Raw genomic sequence first — 21,538 nt, 5'->3', positions numbered from 1 at the left:
CAATAAAACCAAGCAACTGCTGTGATCTGTTTCCAGCATGATTAACTGGAACTAAACGGCCCGGAGGGACCCCCGGTGGCCACATGGGACCAGACTCATGGCCTGCTGCCTAACCCCTGCTCCTTTGCTGGGCCAGGTCAGGAGGCATCTCAGGAACGACTCCAACAGTAAGCATCTCACACAGGCCTGGTGTGGCGCTGCTGGAAGGATAGACTTTGGATGCGTGGCTGGGGTTTGTCTGTGTGTCCCAGTGGAAAACAGACATAAAAGGCCTCTCAAGTGGCTTTGATGGGGCTTTCCAAATGATCGCGCACCCTCCCGTGCCTCCTAGTGGCAGACGCGCAGCCCCCTGTGCCTGCTGCCCTTGGTAGACCCGAGTGACTGAACCAGCTGTCCCTGACCAGCTCTCCGGAATATGGACACCCAACAGGGAGGGTGATACTGTGGCCTCGGTGTGTGAGTGTGTGGTTGGGGCATGGTGTGGGGTAGTCACCAGGCTGGGCAGGGGAGGGGCAGTGGAGGCTGCCTGGAGCTGGGGGTCAGAAGTTGTGGCCGGCACAGTCTGACAATGCATGCAGAGGAGGGATATGGGGCCTGTGTTGGGACTCCTGAGTCCAGAAGCAGCAAAGGTGTGGGAGGTTAGACAGGGTGGGGAGGGCTCGAGTGTGTGAGCACTGAGCCCCAGCGATCCCAAATCTCTCGACCCCTCCTAGCCACCCCCTTGCTACTTCCTGCATTGGCCCCAGGGGCACAGGGTGAGGGGATGTCATGCTACCAACCACCGGCCCTTCTCTCTGGAGGACCTGAGGTCCTTAGTAGGAAAGGCTTGGGACGGAGGCAGCTCCAGTGCCCAGAAAGGCCCCAGACTCCTGGTGGGCTGAAAGGCAGCCTGGCCTGGAGCAGGCAAAGAGGATGGGAAACTGTGGGCTTGCCTTAGGAAACCACGTGACTCGACGCCCCTGCAGGCCTAGTTGGGGCAGCCCTCTTGTCTAGGGGAGCTCCGTCACAGCCTTCAGAGCATCTCTCATCCACCAGAAAGTTCCAAGTAGAGGGTGGGCGCTGGTGCTAGTCCCCACTCTGCCAGGCCTGGCTGCTTATGGGACCCAGTGCAGGTCCTGGCCCTTGGGGACAACCTCCTTCCCCTGATCTCTAGGATGAGAGTGCTGGGCTTGGTGATTGCTTGGGGTCCTTGAAGCGTGGAGTGGGGGTTGGGTTCTGAGTTCTAAACCAATCCGCTGCACTGTGATGATGGCAGGAGGTGGTTCTGGCAGGTGGCTTCCAGAAGTGGGCATGTCCTTGGTGTTGCCAGGTCCCCAGCCAGCATCTTCCTCCACGGCAGAGTCCTTTCTGGGATGCTGATGTTCAGCTGGGATGGGCCTCTTCAGAGGGCCCTGCCACCCACCTTCTGCTGGAGCACACAGTGTGCAAGGGACAGCTGCCCTCCTTCTGGCTATCCGCCACTTAGGGCCCCCATGGAATAGCTTGTGAACAGCAGGAGGGGTGGCGTCTCTCCCACTCTACTTACCCCGCACTGCCAGGCTCCGGAGGTGGGGAGGAGGGGGACAGATGGCCACGGAATGAAGGCAGGAAGGAAGTGCTAGGAGCCAAGGAAGAGAGGAGCAAGAGGCTGCCCCAGGGAGGAAGCAGGAGGAATCCAGAGGGAGAAAAGACAGCAGGCCCCACAGAGGCTGGGCTGGACCTGGAGAGGGACAAGGAGCTGGTCCTGGGGTGGGATGAGGCCAGAGCTGTGGAGAAGGCTCGAGGAACGCGTGGAGTGGGGCCGTGGTGGCTGCCTTCCCCTTAACTCAACAAATGGGCAAATGGACAGACAGACAGGAAGCACAGAGAGAGATGGCAAAGAGACATACGGAGGAAGTCAAGGGGGAGGGAGGCGGAGGCACAGCCATGCCCCCTGCTGCCCTCAGCTCCCAGGAAGGAAGGTGCTGGGAGGCCACGAACCATTTCTGGCTTTAACTGACTTGGCAGAGCCTCCTGTCCGCCTCTCTGGGTGGAGTGGCGGCGAGGCCCCTTTGGGCCCACGTCTAGGGCACTGGAGGCGCCGACTGCTTTTCAGCCCAACTGCCACGGTGTCAGCCAATATTTGTGACAAGGGTAGGTGGCCCCATGATGAGTGTGGAGCAAGCTGGAGGTGTACGTGGCCTGTGGTTTGGAGAAGGAGTGTGTGTGTGTGTGTGTGTGTGTGTGTGTGTGTGTACGCGCGCACGTGCTCTGTTCCCAAGGGGGACAGGATGGGCCTCCTCCCTTCCTTAAAGGACAGAGTGGCCCAAAATGACAGCTTATGCAAGAGGAGGGGTGACCCCCACCAGGGACCTCTCACCAGTTCCTAAAAAAAAAAAGAAAGGAAAAGAAAAGCAATCAAGCTGGAAGAGTCTGTGATGGAAAAAGGCGTGGTTAAGGACTCCCACCTGCAGGGGAGTGGCGTGTTCGTGTTGGCAGAGGGGAGCGCTTCGGGGGCTTGCTAGAAGGAAAGGAAAGAGGTAGCATAGAACCATCCTGGCAAAGGCCCTGGGCCCACGCGCGAAAGTTTACTCTTTGGTGTATAAACTCTCTTGAGTTTGCTGGAAAAAGCAGGCTGCCTGGCTGGGCCCACTGGGTTCCCTGCATTCTCTCCCATCAGGGTAGTGGGGTCAGCGGTGGAGTGGCCTTCCCTTTGTCTTTGTAAAAAGATGTGAGCAATTCTGGAAGTTTCTACCTCCTTAGGACAGCCCCTGGGTTCTCTTTAAACTGTGACCAACATGGTGGGAAATTTTCCTGGCAACGTCTTGAAGAGGCCTCTGAGTGCCAGTTCTGGGGAAACCTCTAACACCCGGTGGCTTGGGGCAAGGCCTACAGGGCAGGCACCACCTGTGCAGTAGTGATTGGTCAGCACTGAGCCCACCTGGGGACAGGTGACAGCGGCATCCTTAGGAAACCACTTCAAGGAGGATGCTGGAAGCGCCGCTCCAGTTCCTGGGTACGTGGGCTAGATTCTTCTGTGGCAAACAGTGTGGGAAAGGCACCCGCCACCCCTCCAGCCCCGGGAAGGCGGCCCTGAGCCCGCGTGCTGCCCTGATGCTGCACCACTGAACACTGAGCAAGGCCCTAGCCTGACACCAGACACCCCCAGAAGCGGCCCAAGTTCATGAAGAACCATCGGCAAAGGCAGACAAGTTCAAGAAAAGAGAACCAATGGCACAAGGAGCACTAAACACAAACCGAAAAACCAAACAAAGCAAAGAACGGGAGGTCCGGAAGTGCCATGGGTTGAATACGTTTCATAAAAGAATATGGCTTTCGAGAGACACCGTCTGGGCGGGAAGGACTGGACAGGGCGGTAAAGAAAGAACAGAAAAGCCACGGTGAGCGGAATGCAAGACTGCAAAAGAGAGAAGGCCGAGCTGGGGAGGCTTATTCTTCCCCAGAGATGCCATTTATGAGAGAAAAGGGAAGTCAAGACTCACTCCCAGCAGCACTGGTAGGATTGGCAGCAGAGAGAATTGCGTGAGTAGGGGTAGAAAGATTGGTTACGTCATGAAGCTGGCTGAGGACCGAAGACCGCCGGCGCACAGCACCCTGAACTGAACCGCTTCTCTTGAAGGTACTCACTACCTCCATCTGTGGGAGAGAAAATGAGATAAAGTTTGGCTTGCACTGTTGTCCAGGCTATCACGGAGGGGAGGGCTGGGCGAGGATAGGGGCCACCACTGGGCACATAGGGTGACAGCAAAGCCTCATCGGGTCACCCCGCTCACTGGGAGCTGGCGATGTTTGGACAGGGCCCTGACTGAGGCCAGCCTCTGTGCCACCCACCGAGAGAGGGTTTGCTGAGCAGATGGTTAGTGGTCATGAGATTGGGAAGGGAAGGGGGTCACAAGTCAGGGCACACTGCAAACATGTCAGAAATGCCCCTTGCAAGCCACTTATCAGGAAGTACTTCATAGTTCTCAACCTTGTTTTTCCTCTCCAACACACCTGAGGGACATGACACGCTCCTATTAGAACCCGCCCTGCTTCCTCTAAACCCGGAGGACTTATGCCCCATGCTCCATCCGCCTGCCCGTCTCCGCCAGCTTCTGTGGCTCATCTGAGTGACTGGGCAGGGGGCGCCCCCTCGAAACTTCAGCAGAAGAATGGACCTAGCGGAGGAGGGGGTTTTCCCACCGACTGGCAGCCGTGGCTTCGCTTTGTCCCCACTCTTACAGCTTCCTGCAAATTGAAGGGGAAGCAAGGCTGGGGAAACTGAGGCCTGCAGGAGGGCCTTGACCCAGTGTCTTTGGATTTCCTGACCTGCCCTTGGCTGGGATGGGGACTCATGTCCGTCTCACTGGAGATGATGTGAACAGCAAAGCCAGTGTGCGCATCTGGAGCCCAAAGCTACCTGCTCCAGCCCGAGCCCTGCAGTGCTATGTGGTGGCCACCAGGTTCACCTGGGTGTCTTGAAACGGGCCAGGGCTTCGTGGAAGAAGGCAGCTTGAGTGTTCAGACTCCCCCTGCACCGGCCAAAATGAGGATGTACGCCACTTCAGCCTTTGACGCGCTGTGGAAAGGACTCCTCCTTCTTCTCAGCCTGCCCAGTCCCCTTCCGCCCAGCACATCCCACTCGCTTGCTTGTCACAAGGGGAACCTCATGGCACTTGCTGCGACCGTGAGGAATGCATACTGAGTGTGTCAGCGCACGGAAGGAGGATGGTTGATGTGATGGCGTCGCGGTGGCTTGCGGGGTGGGGGGTCTCCTGTCTAGATTCAGGAGAGGACTCTCGCTGCGGCAAAAGTGATGAGGGATAGGAAAGATGCCTTTCCTGCCTCAGATTTGCATTGGTCTGGCCTGGCTACAGATGGTGTCCCAGTGGGAGAGCCACATCAGTGACAATACCACAGTCGCCACCACCCCACACCTGGAAGCCCAAGAGCTGAGCCGGGAGCAAGGCCCAGTTGCTGACGAAGCTTCTCTTTGCATTATAATGGGATGCAAAAAAGACAGACCGAGTCATGAGCGCTTCAGAAAGCTACATGTTCTGGGTTTGAAGGACTCTTTTATTCTGGAATGACACCCTGTCCATCTGGTGCGTTGATATGTTAGTATGGAACCATGGTGCGAGCAGGTTACAAAATGCCTTCACTTAGCAACAGAAAAGCTTGTGCCGGCCTCCAAAATCTGGGGAGCGATTTTGTGGTTCCCAAAAAGCAGAAACCTGGGGCCAGCTGCCTAGGAAATGTTTTTCTTGGCTTGGGGCATACGTACAACCTGACGGGCTTCTCCCAAGCTTTAGCTCCATTTTTCAAGCAGGTGTTTCGAATCAAAGAGAGCAGATGCTCTTACATAGCTGGCTAAAAGAACCGACTGGTTCAGCATTCCTGAGAAACATGGTGAGTTGGATGTGACAAAGTCAAAGCGAAAAGCCATGGGGGTCAGGAGCCCGTGGAAGAGTCGGATCGGCTGGTGCCAAGGGGAAAGAGTGCACCCTGTTTCCTCATACGCAAAACAGGGGACTCAGCTGCCCGTGTCTCTGTGAGCACCGACAATTGGAACAGCCTGGAACTCTAAGACTCTGACCGATGGGACTCGCTTCTACTAGCCAGGCTGCAGCGGCCCCCACATACAGAGGACACGAGACACACAGGTGGCCGGGGTACCACTGACACCACTGATGCTTCAGGTCAGGGCAGGGCTGTTGTCTCAGCTGCTGGAAAACCTAACGTCGCCTTCGGCTGCGGCGGCAGGAGTGAAGTGGGCCGCCGAGGGGCAAGGTCCTGCTGTCCTCACCCCCCACCCCAGGCTTGGGCAGCTCTGGGCTCTGTAGCACAACAGGGGTACGATAGATAAGAGCCCATCTGGGGGCAGCTGGGGGGCCCATAGGCATGGTCTCGTAGAAGGCACAGTTGGGCCGCTAGGAGGGCACTGGGGGAGATGTGAATGCTGCTTCTAACATTCGATGTGTTTAAGATTTAGCGCAGAAATATTTATTGCAGGGAACGAGAACAGACTATCTGTGCTGCACCCCTGGCCTGTCCGAGCATTGTGCTTGAGGCAGTAGCCCCTGCACGTGGGAGGGGAGACGCAGGCCATCTGGCGACAAAGCCTGCTCCCCTTCCTCACCGGGGCTCTCTGTGTTCTGGCCAGGCCAGGGCATAGGTGACAGTGTTCAGAGTCCAGACCTAACACATCCTTCCCAGGCTACGCTGTGTTCGGTGCCTAGGATGCCAGCCTCGCCTCCCGGTTCTCAGCTGGAGAGGCCCCTTGGACCCCTGGGGGGCTCTTGAAATGTGGAGTTCTTTGTTGCCCCTTGACCTAGCCCTGCGTGATCGTGGTCTCTGGGGGACTCTGTAGCTCTGGAAAGTTTTGCAAGGAGCCCGTGGTGAGAGTGAGAGGAGTCAAAGAGGGCTTTGTAAGCATGAGGGCCCAGGGGACGCAGCGGGAGTTGGGGAGGTGCAGTGGCACAGGCGGGCAGAGGGCATGATTGGAAAGGCAGCCGGGGGTGCAGGGGTGCAGGTGTGCAGGAAGGTTGGGGTGACACCAAGAGGCAGGGGCTTGAAGGCCATGGTCAGGAGCGTAGACTTCATCCTTAGGACAATGGAGAGAGGCTCCACCAGTCCCACTGCAGAGGGTGGTGTTGGAGGGGCTGAGCTGAGCCAAGGCAAGCAAAGGAGGCTGAGGCCCAGGGAGTGGGGTTGCCCTGAGGCTGGGTCCCTTGAGACTCGGCCCTTGAGACCACTGGGAGGGAACACAGGACCCAGGGCACCAAGAACAGCTTTGTGCAAGTTGCATGGATGATTCTTTGGGACAGGCCCTTGGTGATGTGTGACTGACCCTGGGAAGGGGTGTGGCCTCAGGCCCCGCCTATTCCCGCTTGAGCTGGGGCTGGTGGCTCAGGCGGGCCCTGGCTCCGCAGCCAAGTGTGCAGTGGTGTCCTTACTCTGGCAGGACCTCAGGGAGGAGGGTCAGTCGCTCCATGTCAGGGGCATTGCAACTGGGGATCCTGGACAGGGCCTGGAGGGGCAGGGAGTGATGGCTGTGACCTGAGAGATGGTGGCCCAGGCCTTGCAGAAGGAGGTGGAGTGTGAAGCATGCTGGGTGGCCCTCTGGAGGCTGCTGGGGGAGGGGCAGGCCATGAAGGAGAGGCTGCAGGGGCTGCGGTGGGAGAGGGGCCAGGCCGCAGGTGGGGTCCCCATGGGCCCTTTCTTCCTCCCCGGCCAGGATTTTCAGCACTCAAGGGCCACAGCAGGGTGGGGCGAGGGCTGAGCAGGAGGTGGGGGTGCCAGGCGGGTGAGGACAGCAAGTCTCCAGGCAGTGCCCACAGCAGGCAGGAACGATGCAGGGACAGCCCGACCCCACGAGCCGGAAGGGAGCCTCGCAGGCCTAGGCGAGCGCCGTTTCTGGGGAGTGGTGGGCAGAGGCCAGGCTGTAGTGGGATCACAAGAGAGTTCCAGGGAGGGGTGTGGAGACACAGCGAGTCTGGAGCATTCTGGCAAAACTGTTGGCCGGGAGGAGATGGGAACAAGGGAGCATGGTAGCTCTGGCAAGCGCCTGATACTGGTGGCAGTGGTGGCCATCTGACTTCAGAGAGGAACACAGCTGACGCCCTTGGTCTTGGCCGGCCCTAACCCTTGGTGATTTGGATGACCAGAAAGGACCAACTCGGTGGCCAGAGTCCACTTCCCAAATGAAGTCTCCCCATCGCATTTACAGTGTCAACCAGTGAACCTTGAGCTCGCTGGTGGCTGTTTGAAATGGGCCTCTCTTCCCGATACTGTCACTTGCCTATGACCTGGGGCCGTTCCCACCAAGTGAAGGGAGCCCCAGCAGTGATGAGGACGGTGCTGGCCTGTGCCTCTGAGAGAGCCATTAGTCACCCACACACACCTTTAGCTACAGGGGATGCCTGGGCTCTGAAGGAGCTGTCAGGGAGAGGCGATCTCAGTGCCACAGCCATCAGCGGGCACAGCCCGGAATGGCAAAGGGGACACTGGCAGCTGCTTTTGTGACCTTGGCAGCAAGACCAAAGGGTTTCCCTGTGGGTGTCGGGTGCAGACGGCCGGCTCTCGGCTGCTGCTGGCCAGCTTGCCTCTACCCTCTTGGGGTGGAAGTGCCAGGGCGAGAGCGAGTCGGGGCTTACCTGCGTCTGAATCCGGTTCAGGCCCCGGAACCAGAGGATCTGGCCCCTGCGGAGCTCCCGCTCGGCATGGTCGATCTCTTCCTCGCCTTCGGCCAGCTCCTCGTCGGTCATCTCGTCCTTCCCGGGCCCGTGCCCGGCTTCCTTCAGGCACTTGAGCTGGCTGGTGGGGATGGTGGCAATGACCTGGGGGAGCCACACGGAAGTGGCCGTGAGAGCCAGGCTGAGCAGCATCTGCCTGGTGTAAGGTCCCTCTCCAGAGGGAGACGCCGGCCTCCTTCTTCCAAAGGATGTCATTTGTTTTTGTGACTAAGCAAAGGGAGTAAAGCTAGAGCAGTCCCCCCGGGAACTGGCAGCCCTTGGAGAACTGGCGTAGTGTTCCCCCGGGGGGCTGAGATGCATTTTCAGGAGTACGTGGAGCTCTGGGCCAGCCTCCGGGACTTCGAGAAAGTAAGTGTCTGTTGTCTAAGCCTCCCAGTCTATGGTATTTTGCTATGGCAGTCAGAGCTGATGAAGACAGAGATAAGCGGATCCTCCATGGAGCTCCATTCAGCCAAAGGGCCCAGGGAGTGGCCCGAGTGGAACGCGGTGCAGCAAGGGCTCCTGGGAGGGATCGCTAAGCCCCTGGAACATCCTGCTTGAGAGCAGCATGGCTCAGTGGGGCAGGGGGCTGGGGACCGTGCCCCGTAGGCTACACTAACAGCTGGACCTCCAGAGGGCTGGAGATGGAGGCCAGCCACGTGACCACAGCATGGCTCTGTGAACCACCGCAAGAAAAGCCCTGGACACCGGGGCCTGGGTGAGCTGCCCTGGTTGACAATACTCCCTGCATGTCGCTCCACACCGTTGCTGGGAGACACAGGCGCTGTTTGCGCAACTCCCCTGGGAGAGGACAGCTGGAGCTCTGGCCTAGTCTCTCCTGGAGAGGGCATCTCCTGGAGGAACACCAGCCTAGAGAAGACCTGTGCATTGGGGGCTAGAGAGGGTGGGAGGTGACAAGGAGGGTGACAGCTGGAAAGGGTGACTGGATAAGGAGCCTGGCAGGAGTAAAGAGAGGGCATGGCTTCGCATATTGTAGGCCACTGGGAAGTGGGGGGAACAGTCTAGAAGGACGCAGGGGAAGCCACAGAAAGGGATGATGGGCATCTGGAGTTCTAGAGCAAGACGTCTCGTCTGTCTTGTGTGTCTATGCCAGTGTATTTGTCGAACATGGCCAGGAGGGGACTTGAGGACTGGTTCACAGAGATTCCCTTCTTTTCGTTTTTCTCTTGAACATGTTTTATCTTTGTAACTGAACAAGGTTAAAAATGAAAAGGACAACCCAGTAGCCCTGAGAGGCCGAGCTACAGGCTGGTGCCACATTCCTGGGGGGACCAGAAGGCCAGTGGCCTGGGAGCTTGAAGAGCAAGAAGAGGGCCTGGCACCCCTCTGGGCTGTGGTTAGAGTCCAGGTTTCGGGAAGTGAAGGGACTCCATGGAGCAACCAGGTTCAAGTGTGATTCGGAGGTGAGGTGCAGTAGCAGAGGGAAAGGAGAATTCTGAAAATGAAACAGGAACTGGGTGGGCTGTCCCCGAGGACACTAATGCTGGGGCCAGCAAGAAGGCTGGCATCTGCAGCAGCTGCAGCAGCCCCTGTGGCCGGCACAGAGATCAAGAAACAAAAGCCAGGCCGAGCATGGTGGCTCCCGCCTGTAATCCCAGCACTTTGGGAGGCTGAGGCAGGCAGATCACTTGAGTTCAGGAGTTCAAGACCAGCCTGGGCAACATGGCACAACACATCTCTACAAAAAATACAAAACTTAGCCTGGTGTGGTGGCATGTGCCTGTGGTCCCAGCTGCTTGGGAGGCTGAGATAGGAGGATCACTTGAGCCTGGGAGTTCGAGGCTACAGTGAGCTGTGATTGTACCACTGCACTCCACATTGGGCAACAGAACAAGACCCTGTCTCAAAAAAAAAAAAAAAAAAAAAAAGGAAAAGCCAGAATGCTATGGACTGAACTGTGCTCTCCAGTTCATGTGTTGAAGTCCTAGTGCCCAGTGTGGCTGGATTTGGAGTAAGGAAGTGATCAAGGTTAAATGAGGTCACCAAGGTGGGGCCCTGATCCTACTGGATTAATGCTCCTAGGAGAGGAAACACCAGAGACCTTGCTCCCTCTGTCCACCATGTGAGCACAGAGTGAGGAGGCGGCTGTCTGCAAGCCAGGAAGGAGCCCTCACCAGGAACTGGCCCCGCTGGCTCCCTGGCCTTGGATATCCAGCCTCCGGGACTTCGAGAAAGTAAGTGTCTGTTGTCTAAGCCTCCCAGTCTATGGTATTTTGCTATGGCAGTCGGAGCTGATGAAGACAGAGATAAGCGGATCCTAAATACCCAGGCTGTTTCTTCCTGATCTAATTGTGGGGTCCTAGAAACCTGCCAGTGTGCGGCTTCAGCTGCAGCCCACAGAGCTCGATGTGGGACTCTCTGTCCTTTCCATCAGGTCAAAATATTTCCTAATTTCTCTGGAGACTTTCTTTTCGCCCCATGGATTATTGATCAGGGTGCTGTTTGATTGATTTAAAATATGTGGGGATTTCCCAAGCTACCCACCCAATTGGAAGGGGCAATTTTTGGCTCTTATCATAGAAAGGGGAGCTGCGGGCAGTTTTCCTGGGCCCTGTCACATCCCAGCCATGTTCCTTTGCATTCTTTTGCTGACACCTTCCCTTGCGTCCTGTCCCTGGGTCCTGGTGTGTCACAGGCCTGAGCCCTCAGTGTGCTTCCTAGGGTGAGGACCCCAAGGCTCTGAAGCAGGGTTAGGGCAAGTGGGCCCATCACAGAAGCTGTCTGCAGGGCAGTCTGAAATGAGGGGCAGGGCTGTCACTCACCTGTCCCCAGACCAGCTCCCCAACACCAACAAACAGGCACCAGAGCCACTGTTCTGTGGATAGTGGGGAGCAGCTGAAGGGCTTCCCGCCAAACTGGACGATGACAATCTGCGAAGGGCAAGTGGGAGAGAGGCAGGTCCAGCCGCGGCTCCTGAGCCACCCTTGTCCTCCAACCCCTTGAAGACCCAGCCACCCTGGTTGGTTCCCCCAGTTGCACGGGCTGCTCCTTGCGAGAGGACCACAAGGCCGGGGGCGTGATGACAGAGCAGTGCATGGCCCCCAGCGCCCCTGGGTGCCAGGCACCTACTGACTCCAGCCTCGGAGTGGGGCCCAGCTCCACTGACCATGCTCCTATTTTCAGCAAGACGGAGGCTGTGACACCCACCCTGCGGGCACGCTGGACATGCCTCATTCTGGAGGACCCTAGAACCTGCCGAGGTCACCTTGTCTTGGCCTCCTGCCTCCTCGGGAGGCATCCAATTTGCAGGGGCAAGCTGTCCAAATGCAAACTGACCCCGTCCTCTGTTGGACTGTCACATTCCGGGCCACTATCCCCTTGCACTCATTACCCAGGACCAGGTACCAGACAGCCAGGGAGCACCCGTATGCCCTGGAACCGCTGCAATGACGCAACCTAGCCAGTCCTGAGCCTACCAGCCCTGCCTCACCTGCTCCTCCCCGAGGGAACCACAGCAAAGGCTCTTGTCCACAGCTCTCACACCCCACCTCCTGCCTGGCGCTCTCCCATGTGGGCCCCTATGGTGTGGCATGTGTCCTCCTCTTGGGGTCTCTGAGTCATAAACTGTCTTTCAGTGGCAACTGTCTCTTGACCTTTTGGCCTTACTATACCTCAATTTTTCTACAAATACACTATATTTTAGAACACTTAGCCCCTCCTAGACAGTGGGGCTGACCAGCCTGTCCACAGCACTGTGGGAAGCAGAGGTTAGTGTGTCAGCACTGGGCACAGAGGTCATCTCCAAAAGAAACTTCTGGAGTTATGGCAGCCTCATGCCAAGGAATTAAGTGCTAGAAATGGGAATGGCAGACCTAGAGGGAGCCAGGGAGGACTCCTTCCAGCATCTGTGAGAAAACTTCGTTCCGATGAGGGCTCACGAAACCCTTCTGGAAGCCAGCGCGCTCACCCAGGGCAAGGCCGGCAATGTTTGGAAGATGAAGAAGGCCCTCTCCGACATGCAGAGAGGACGGGGGCTACAGGAAAGCCAGGTGGGGTGGGGCTCCTTCTGGGAGTGGAGGTGGGGAGGCCAGTACTAGGGGTGGACGAGGGGTCTTGAAGCCCACCACCTCCACTTTTTGCAAGTGGCAGAGGCCAAGAGTGGAGCCGCCCCTCCTACCTGAATCCCGAAAGTGCCCAAAACGATGGTGCAGAAGATGGGGTTGCTGAAGATGCCGTCGAACACGTTCCTCTCGCCGTGGATCTTGCGGGCGTTGATCTCGTTAAAGAGCTGCATCATGACGAACGTGTTGAAGATGATGGTGTAGTGCTCTGAGGGTGGCGAGTGCAGGGGCGCATTCCTCCCGCTGTCGATGTCGAAGAAGAGCTCCCCTGGAAAGCAACATTCCCCACTCAGGCACAGTCATCTCAGCGCATGACGCATTACTCAGGAGCGAGACTTCGGTGTGTAGCTCCCGAGATGGGTCCCTTGTCCCAGGGGATGGCCACTTCCAGCTCACGGCCAAGGCCCAAGGCAGCCACACCCACCCCAGGCTCAACCAACCAGAGTCCTGAGACCCCTCTGGGCCAGGGGCCAGACCCTGAGCCTGAGGGCAGGAAGGAAGAGATTAAGAAGGGAAGTTCTTAAGGCTGGCTTTCCTCGGACGCCCTCCTCCTCTTCCTCTCTCTTGCGGTCACCCCCCACCCACCTCACAGCTTCCAGCACGGCACCCCAGTCACTCCACAGGAGCAATCTTCACAGGGTAAATGTGGGCTGTTCTGTTCCTAGGGTTACCGTGGCCACTCTGGGGCTGGGTAGAAGCTGCCTACTCTACACAGCTACACAGCCGTGGGCAGGATGTCAAGACATGAACTGTTTCTCAGCTGCTCAGCGGCCTGGGAGGAGAGGCTTGCGAAAGAGCTGTAGGCCACCAGCAGGCCTGGCTGCAGGGTTGCTAGCCTGGCCCATCTGCTCCTTCCCCTGTGTGCTGTCCAGTCAGGAAGTGCAGCGTCCCACCCCGTACTGGGTGCGGAGACACAGGTGGAGACACACCAGACAGAATCTGAGCCCGAGGTGGTGGCAACAGTGTCCTGAAGTCCTCCCGGGTGCCCCTGGCCAGCCTACCGACAAACAGCAGGGTGAAGATGATGGCGAGCTGGTACACGGCGTGGCCCAGAATGTTCTTCATCATGGTGCGGGAGATGAGGGGCTTGTCGCGGCCGTACGGCTTCCGCAGCAGCAGCGACTCTGTGGGTGGCTCCGTCGCCAGGGCCAGAGAGGCAAATGTGTCCATGATCAAGTTCACCCACAACATCTGCACGGCTTTGAGAGGAGAGTCCTATGGAGAGGAGGCAGTCACCTTTCCATGGGCCGCCTGCCCGGGAAGGTTGGGGGTGGAAACCCAGTAGCTCCTGGGGGCTCCTCATGGGGTCCACATCACCAGGATTTCATGCCCATGAAAACAGACATCTCCATCCCTACATCGCCTTTACGCTAGTGGGGCGTTTTCTTTGGGCTGTCACGTGCCCGCCTCCCTTCTCTCACCTGGCAGCAGGTGTGCTCCAAATCCCTCGCAGGAGGTGAAAAACCCCAGACCACAAAACAGCCCGACGATGGGGTCTGCCATTTGGGGCAACAGAGTGAGGGCTGCTCTCCTTGTCTCCTGCACCTCAGGGGCAGGAGGAGGCAGAAACTCTGAACTGGACCTTCCTTCTCAGCTCCTCTGAGTTGTTCGTTAAAAATCAGCCTCACAGAAGCCAGACACACAAGGCCACGTACTGTCTGATTCCATTCATAGGAAACTTCCAGAACTGACAAATCCATAGAGAGAGAAAGCAGATGAGTGGGTGCCAGGGGCTGGGGTTTGGGGAGTAGAGAGTGACTGCTCACGGGGTCTGGGTGTCCTTTTGGGGTGATGAGAATGTTCTGGGAATAGACAGTGGAGGGATATAAACCTCGGAGTTATGTACTTTCAAAAGGTTAAAATGGTTCTGTTGAAGTTTGTTATGTGATTTTTTATCTCAATTTAAAAAATTGTTTTGAAAAGACCAAGTTGATCAGCAGGCAATTTAAACACCCCCTTTCTAAGGCGGGGTGAAGAAAATCTGGACACTCACCAATGGGGAAAATGGGACTGTTGAGAAAGGGTTCCCATGGGACGCATAGCCCACGCAGAAACTCATACACAGATGCTCCTGGCAGCACCATTCACAAGAGCCAAAAAGTGGGAACGAGCCATGTGTCCATCAGGGCAGACATACATAATGTGGCAGTCTGTGCCGTGGAGTGTTATGAGGCCATGAAAAGGCAGAAAGTCCTGCCCTATGCTACGGTGTGTGTGAGCCTGAAAACACGGTGCTAAGCGAGATGCCAGACACAAGAGGCCACATATTATTTGATCCCATAGGAATGAAATGTCCGGAACAGGCAAATCCATAGACCCAGGAAGCCTGTGAGTGGTTGCCGGGGGCTGGGATGTTTGGGGGAGAAATGGGGAAATGACTGCTCAAGAGCACAGGGTTTCTTTTTAAGATGATGACAATCTTCTGGAACTAGATAGAGCCAATGGTTGCACAACGTGGTGAATGTCCTACAAATTCGAGTGCTGAATTATGTACTTGAAAATGGTGAATTTTTGGCATATGAATTTGATCTCAATTAAAATAATCTGCAGCAAAGAAAACAAAACCCTCACTCTCACAATCTGGCCCTCAGGCCTGAGCCCAGGTGTCCTAGCTGGGGCATGGCAGCCCCCAGTACCCACCTGAGTAATGCAGGCACCTGTGAAGGCCACGATCACAGCCACCACATTGACCGTCAGTTGAAACTGCAGGAACTTGGAGATGCTGTCATAGACGTTACGGCCCCACATGACTGCCTTGACGATGCTGGTGAAGTTGTCATCGGTCAGGATGATGTCGGAGGCCTCCTTGGCCACGTCGGTCCCTGCGATGCCCTGGGGGGGTGACACACACACTCACACAGAGTGTTTGTGGGGGCCCCTTCCCCAGCCCCCCTTGATCACCTGGCCCGCCTGGGCTGGCTCCCTGCTCTCCCCTTCTGAATAACATCCCACCCCGCCCCCCAAAGCCAAGAACAGCACTGTTTTTTGTTGCTTTTTTTTAATGCAACACATTCTTGTACTACAAACAGTAAGTTGTCACATGTCACGGTGGGGGGGGGGGCTTTGCTCATAAACACAGAGGGTGCTGATGACATGGCATCAACACAGCTTTACACATAAAGCCCAGCTGCCACCACGTGGCCACCAAGCAGCGTGGTCTGTTCTTAGCACTCCAGAGAGGCTTGCTGGCTAAGGAGCCCTGGGAAGTCCTGCATGGGGACACCCTGGGCGGGGCGGCTCCTTGCAGAGGAGTCCCTGTCCCATGGAGGCGCAGCTGCAGCTGTGCCAAGCTGCGCAGTCCTCTCCTCTGCCCCAAGCCTGGCCCCGTGAGAGCTGCCACCTCTCGAAGCTTGGGCTGGAGCTCCCTTCTGGGCTACGGGTGCTGGGAAGGACTGGGCTGGGTTCCCTGGGTGACACTCCTTTTCGGTAGGGCAGGGAGAGGGGCTCACCAGGTTGCTGCGTTCAGTGGCTGTGGGGCCACTGAGGGGCCGCAACCAGCCATGTGGGTGGCGTCTGCAGGGCTACCCTGCTCAGTGGGTGAGCAACAGGAAGGAAGTGCAGAGGAAGAGCACATCTGGGGACTCTGCTCACCTCATCTGGGGCTGAGAGTCCATTTAGAGAGGACGGGGGTGGGCAATGCCATCAGTGATGAGCCCCCACCCCCCATTCCCCTTCCTCTCCACAGTATGTCTGGGGCCCACTGTCACCTTGGGCATCACAGCAGATGCCTTTAACCACATGTCCCCCGACTGGCAGAGCCCACGCAGGCCCAAGTGGCCAGGATGTGAAAGAAAGAACCTTCAGGCACTCTGTAACCTGCCCCGACACTGGCTCCCACTTCCTGGTACAAAGCTAATGTCCATGGGACAGATGCAGGCCCCATCTGCCGTGGTGAGCTGGGCGGGCACCAGGTGGCTTACCATGGCGAAGCCCACGTCCGCCTTCTTGAGGGCCGGCCCATCGTTGGTGCCATCCCCTGTCACAGCCACCACCTGCCGCTGCTCACCAGTGGTGCTGTCGATAATCCCTGGAAGACAGATCAGGGCAGGGCAGGGCTGGGGCCATCTGTCACCACAACCCTGTGTAGCCCTGCCCAGGGAGCTATGGGGGTAGGTTGGCTGTGAAAACCCTTTGGGATTACCCCGTCCTGACTGTCCCAATTATCTGTGCTCCCCGTCACCTGGATCATCTCCTATCCCCAAATAAGTAAGCAAATCTCACTGAGTGACAGGGCCAGGGTGGGAGGATAGGGATCTGGTTAGGGCCTGGGGACACAATCCTGGGTCCCTGGCTCTAGACCCACTGCTTCTAGAGACTCACTGTGTGACTTGGAGTGAGTCACTAGCCCTCCCCGAACCCTGGTTCCCTCATGGGCCCCTGCCCTGCTGCTCTGGGCTAATGGGACAAATGGACCCAGCTTCCTAGGCAGGCCCTGGGGACCTGTTTGGGAACCTGGCTTTTGGTGTCAGGAAGCAGACAACCTCGGGCTGGCCACCCCAGGAAAGGGGTGTGGGGGCTCGGCTACCTTTGACCAGTGTGTGCTTGTCGGTGGGAGACGACCGGGCCAGCACCCTCAGCTTGGGCCACACCTTGTCCAGCCGCTCCTGTTCTATCTGGGGAGGGGAAGCACAAGGACGCTGCAGAGCTAAGGCGGGCACGCAGGGGGCTGGGGTGAGGAGAAGGGGGGTCTGGGGTGGCAGACAGCCGGGTGCTACCTCGCCTTTCTCATTGCGGATCCGCCGGTTGAACTCCTTCCCTTCTAGGCACAGGAAGTCCTCCCCGGGCTGGATGATGCCGCATTTGGCTGCGATGGCCCGGGCCGTGTTGATGTTGTCCCCAGTCACCATGCGGACTGTGATGCCAGCACGCTGGCATTTTCGGATAGCTTCAGGGACCTAGAAGAGACAAGAGAGGTGGGCGGGGCCATCGAGGCAAGACGTATTTTGGGTTGAGGCAGTACCCCTTCCTCCATCAGATCTGCAGGTGGCCCAAGGTCCAGCAGAGGTGAGAGTAAAGCCATCCGATTCACGTGCTCAGAACACTTGTGTTAGCCTACAGTTGGGCAAAAGCATTGAACACAAAGCCTATTGTGGAATACAGTGCTGATTATCTCATGTAACTCATTGAATCCTGCACTGAAAGGGAAAAGCATGGGACTCGAAGTAAAGTTTCTGCTGAATGTGCATCACCTTTGCACCAAGTTACAAAATTGTTAAAAGTTGGGGACCACCTGCATCACATTAGATTCTGGAGAAAGAGAAAGAGGTTCCCCAGTGCTGAGTGGAAAGCGAACAGCCTGCAAGGGGTTGAGAGCGGGAAGCCAGGAGACTGGCCGGGAGGTGGTGGCATTGTCCCAGTGGTGGGGGGACAGGGAAGACAGTTCCCAAATGAAGAGGTATGTGGCTCTTCAGGCTCGGGGACAGAGAGACAGGGTCAGGCAGCTGATGCCACTGAGGTAGACGGGCAGGGGGAGAGGAGAAGAGGAGCCAGGTTCAGAGTTTGGGAACCTGAATGAGGAGGTCAAGCCTAGGCAGTGGGGCTTGTGAGCACCGTCGGGTAAGTGTAGAAGCCTAGGTGTGGCCGAGCCGCCAGGCCTGGGGAGCCTGCGGCGGTGGGGAGTAGACACGCAGGAGTGGGAGCCAGGGGTAGGGCAGCCGGGAGACACCAGGGGAGGACATTGACCTGGGAGTCCCTGAATCCTGGCGCCCCCTGAGGCCATGGGCAGGGGGGCTGTGATCTTTGCCAGGGAGACAGCTGGGGGCCCCACTCTAAGCTGTGACAGGGTGATCCAATGGTTCCTGCAGCATATACCACTAAGTGGCCTCACTGCCAGCCTCGGGGACACTTCGTACTCTCTGAGGATCTTGGGGTGCTGGATAACAAGATCACGAGCCACAAGAAGACAATTCTCCTTTGAGCCAGCGAATGCCTGTCCCTGAAAAGTCTGGAAGCCACCCCTCTGCTGCCACCAAGTGGCCGTGACGAGCCTGAAAACCAGCAGCTGCGAACCCAGGCCTCCTCCCTCCTCAGGCCCAGTGTGTGTAGCCCAGTTCCTTCCCCATGGCCCCAAAGGGCCAGGCCAGGCTGTCCTTCCTCGCCTGCTCAGCCCTGCTCCCTGCCTTCTCCCCAAGGCCCCACAGCACAGCAGCCAGCCAGGTGTCTGGAGAAGTTGCCAGTGCCCCCGGCCGGCCCAGCTCCAGCATCAATACCACCCCAGCCACAGGCTTCCTATGGCTCCCCAGGGCCCAGCCTCACGGGCCCTCCTCTGGCTGCAGCCGTGCCGCATCTCCAAGCACCCTGGCGGTTTCAGTGAGGCCCTTGTGTCCTACTGCCTGTTGCCGGCACCCAGGACTTCGCTGGGCCTTCTGTGCGTCCTCCTCAGCCACCACCAGGCTGGCCAGTCTTTGTGGGGGTCTGCCCAGCCTCCGCAGCCTGGCCCTGTCACTGTGGTCTACCCCTTGGACTCTCTCTCAGCCACTCTTAAGCTGGAAAGGAGCTGTCCCTATTCCCCAGGCCCCTCTGGCAAGATTCCTTCCTCTGCTCTGTGCTTCAGTTGCTCCCTGGTCCAACAGAGGGACTCGATGGCTCCTGTCCCCAAGTGTGGCCTTGCTTCGCCTCACCAGCACCCTCTCCTTCTGCTCTCCCAGGCTCAGTGGGGCCCGGGACTCATGCCGCTGCCCGCCTTTGCGGGGCCCATTTCCCTCGCTGGACTTCTGTCCCCTGTCCTCCGCTACCACCCATTTTCTCCCAGGGCAAGCTCGAGGTGCTCCCTCTCTGGGCGCAGTGACCATGTTCTCCTCGGGGCACGGGGCTGCTCTGTTGACATGAGCCATGGCTGGCGTTTAGACGCACTGTCTTTGAATTGAGTGTTTTTGCTACATGATCCAATACATGAATGCCTGTCTCCCGAAGGAGAGCCCAGAAGCTTCTCCTCCCAGGTTGCACCTGCACCCCCAGGGTGGCTCCTACAAAGACAAGTTGTCAGGGTCACAGTGGCCCTGCTTGTGACACAGGTGGGTGCCATGCAGAGGCCCTGGGGAGACAGAGGGGCACCCCATGCCTTGCATTCTCCCTCCGGGGCCGGCCATCCTCCACACTCTCCAGGGTCTGGGATCTTTCAACAACAAAGTGACTTCCCAGTGTCAAGGCCATGGCATCTGCCACGCGGCCCTCGAGGTCCCCTCATCTGGACTCCCCTGGTGGCATCGTCCATATGGGGATATGCTTCTGGGCTCCCTTTCCCGCCAGGACCTTTGCTGTGAGCTCGCCACAGGACGTCCTGACCGTAGAGTAGCCCCAGCCAAACCCTCAACCAATAAACGCCCACCCTGTGCCCCAAACCTGTGTCCCCTCAGGCTTCAGCACCACCTCCAGTCCATCGGTCCTGGGTGGATCAGATCCCAAATGTCGACGGTCTCTCCGCCACTGCCACCTTCTCACCTGGTAGAAGGTGGAGCCTGAGCTGGGCCCATAGGTCAAGCGGGAAGGGCTTTCCAGCAGGCAGGACAGAGCCTTTGTGCGGGTGTCAGGGTGAGAGCACCCAGGACGGGGCTCAAGTGTACTACGGAGGGACCGCAGCAGCTGTGTGTGAAGGAAGGCCGCCCCTACCAGTCCGGACAAGCTCGGGCAGAGGGCACAGTTACCAGGGCAGCTCACAGAGAAGGTGGTGGCTACCTCGGGCCGCACAGGGTCCTCAATGCCCACGACAGCTATGCAGGTGAGGTCACCCACGACCTCATTCTCGTTGTCCCAGTCGGGCTCCTGGCCTGCAGAGAAGTCCCGGTAGGCGATGCAGATGGTGCGGAGGCCATCGCAAGCCATCGGCTCGATGATCTTCCTCACCATGTCGTCCCGGTCCCGAGGCCGAAAGCCCCGGAGTTCGCCATTGCTGTTCAAGATGTTGGTGCACCTAGGCAGGGGGTGGGCAGAGATGAGGTGGAGGTGGGGAGAGAACAACAAGGAACAGCGCTGGTCACACTGGATTGGGGGCTTAGTCAAGGACTGGGGTCCTTATCAGAGAGGAGTGCCCCGTGTGAGAACACAGACACACAGGGAGAAGGGCGTGTGACAACAGGCAGAGATTAGAGAGGGTCAGCTGCAAGCTGAGGAACGCGAGGACTGGCAGCCACCACCAGAAGCTGGAGGATGCAGGATGCATCCTCTCTGAGATGCTTTGGAGGCGCTTCGGCCCTGCCCACGCCCTGCTTTTGGACTTCCGGCCTCCAGAACTGGGGGAGAATCCATTTCTGTTGCTTGAGGGCACCAGGACGCTCATGCACTGCTGCAGGCTGAGAGACCGGGAGGGAGGCAGGAGCATGTGGCTCATGGCAGCTCCACCACAGACTTCATAGGGCAAGCGGGTGGAACCTGGGCAAAAACTGAAGTCTGTGGACAATCGCTATAACCACGTCCAGGCAGCCACAGCCTCAGTAGAGCGCTCATGACTCCAGGAGCTTCTCAAAAGGGACAGGACTTGGGAGGATTCAGGTGGGGAGAGGAGGGAGCAAAGGAGCCGAGGGTCACAGAGGCGGGCATGGTGGAAGAAGCCAGTGGGGCTGTGAGTGCCAGGTGCTGCCACTGCATGGGAGGCTGGTGACGAAGGAAATGATCATAACAGAAGCTGTGTGGACGGAGAGCCTCCTATGGATGTGGATTCACCCACGGAACCCTCACACCCCTCCCCAGAGATAAGTATTCTGTGATCTCCATGCCACCAGGGAAACTGAGGCATGGGAGTAAGGGGGAGTGAAGCTGGGCTGGGCCTTTTGTCCGCAGTGCCTCAGTGTCCCTCAGTGCCCACCAAAAAAGAAGCACAGAAAGAGGGCTGAGGCCCCCACACCAGCAGGGATGGCTCCAGGGAGGAGGTGGTCCTGGCCCTGGCAGTGAGCGCTGCACCTGGCAGAGTTCTGGGAGAGCGCTGTGGGTGGGGCGGCCAGGCAGGGTGCACTTGGTGGTCCAGTCCGCAGAACACAGGAAGGAGCGTGGGCCTGGGCCTTTGGGGAGCCCTGGGCGTCCTGCAGAGGACCTTGCCCTGAGGGCCCTGGGACGGCAGTCATGAGGAGCGAGGTGACTTGTGGACAGAGACGCCAAGGCCAAGGGTGTGGAGTCCGGGAAGGCTGAGTGGGAGTGGGGAAGCCAGGGCATTTGGAGGTGACGCTGTGCACTCTCCCTTACTTTGTTCTAATAGCTTTATTGGGATATAATTCACGCACCACACAGTCCACCCATTTAAAGTAGATAATTCGATGGTTTTTAGTATAGTCA

General features: G+C 58.0%; 1 protein-coding gene across 13 annotated transcripts in view, besides 2 other annotated features; it reads right to left on the bottom strand.

Annotated features, from left to right (window-relative positions):
* The window catches only part of ATP2B3 (ATPase plasma membrane Ca2+ transporting 3), a 65,288-nt gene that overhangs the window by 9,712 nt on the left and 34,038 nt on the right, over window positions 1-21,538 (bottom strand). For 3 of the 13 annotated variants that reach the window (NM_021949.4, XM_024452386.2, NM_001388360.1), the window contains 10 exons: window positions 19,949-20,183; window positions 16,990-17,169; window positions 16,800-16,887; window positions 16,195-16,301; window positions 14,915-15,106; window positions 13,276-13,489; window positions 12,331-12,542; window positions 10,976-11,083; window positions 8,115-8,297; window positions 3,462-3,615 (listed from right to left, as the gene is read on the bottom strand). In NM_021949.4, the coding sequence (NP_068768.2) occupies window positions 3,462-3,615; window positions 8,115-8,297; window positions 10,976-11,083; window positions 12,331-12,542; window positions 13,276-13,489; window positions 14,915-15,106; window positions 16,195-16,301; window positions 16,800-16,887; window positions 16,990-17,169; window positions 19,949-20,183 (1,673 nt within the window). Of the gene's footprint in view, window positions 1-3,260; window positions 3,616-5,016; window positions 7,401-8,114; window positions 8,298-10,975; window positions 11,084-12,330; window positions 12,543-13,275; window positions 13,490-14,914; window positions 15,107-16,194; window positions 16,302-16,799; window positions 16,888-16,989; window positions 17,170-19,948; window positions 20,184-21,538 lie in introns of those variants that run through there. The other 10 variants (NM_001410708.1, XM_047442141.1, XM_047442142.1 and 7 more) reach the window with 4 other exon arrangements.
* Window positions 7,050-7,662: an enhancer, noted in NCBI's record as "H3K4me1 hESC enhancer chrX:152831014-152831626 (GRCh37/hg19 assembly coordinates)". NCBI's record gives its function as "activates a minimal SCP1, AML or CMV promoter by ChIP-STARR-seq in naive H9 embryonic stem cells {active_cell/tissue: H9 hESC(naive)}" and the evidence as "EXISTENCE:reporter gene assay evidence [ECO:0000049][PMID:30033119]".
* Window positions 12,045-12,829: an enhancer, noted in NCBI's record as "H3K4me1 hESC enhancer chrX:152825847-152826631 (GRCh37/hg19 assembly coordinates)". NCBI's record gives its function as "activates a minimal SCP1, AML or CMV promoter by ChIP-STARR-seq in naive H9 embryonic stem cells {active_cell/tissue: H9 hESC(naive)}" and the evidence as "EXISTENCE:reporter gene assay evidence [ECO:0000049][PMID:30033119]".

The sequence above is a fragment of the Homo sapiens genome, chromosome X (assembly GCF_000001405.40).
Source record: "Homo sapiens chromosome X, GRCh38.p14 Primary Assembly".
Taxonomy (NCBI): Eukaryota; Metazoa; Chordata; class Mammalia; order Primates; family Hominidae; genus Homo; species Homo sapiens.
The sequence above is the reverse complement of the archived record's forward strand: the minus strand, read 5'-3'. Positions and strand labels throughout refer to the sequence as shown.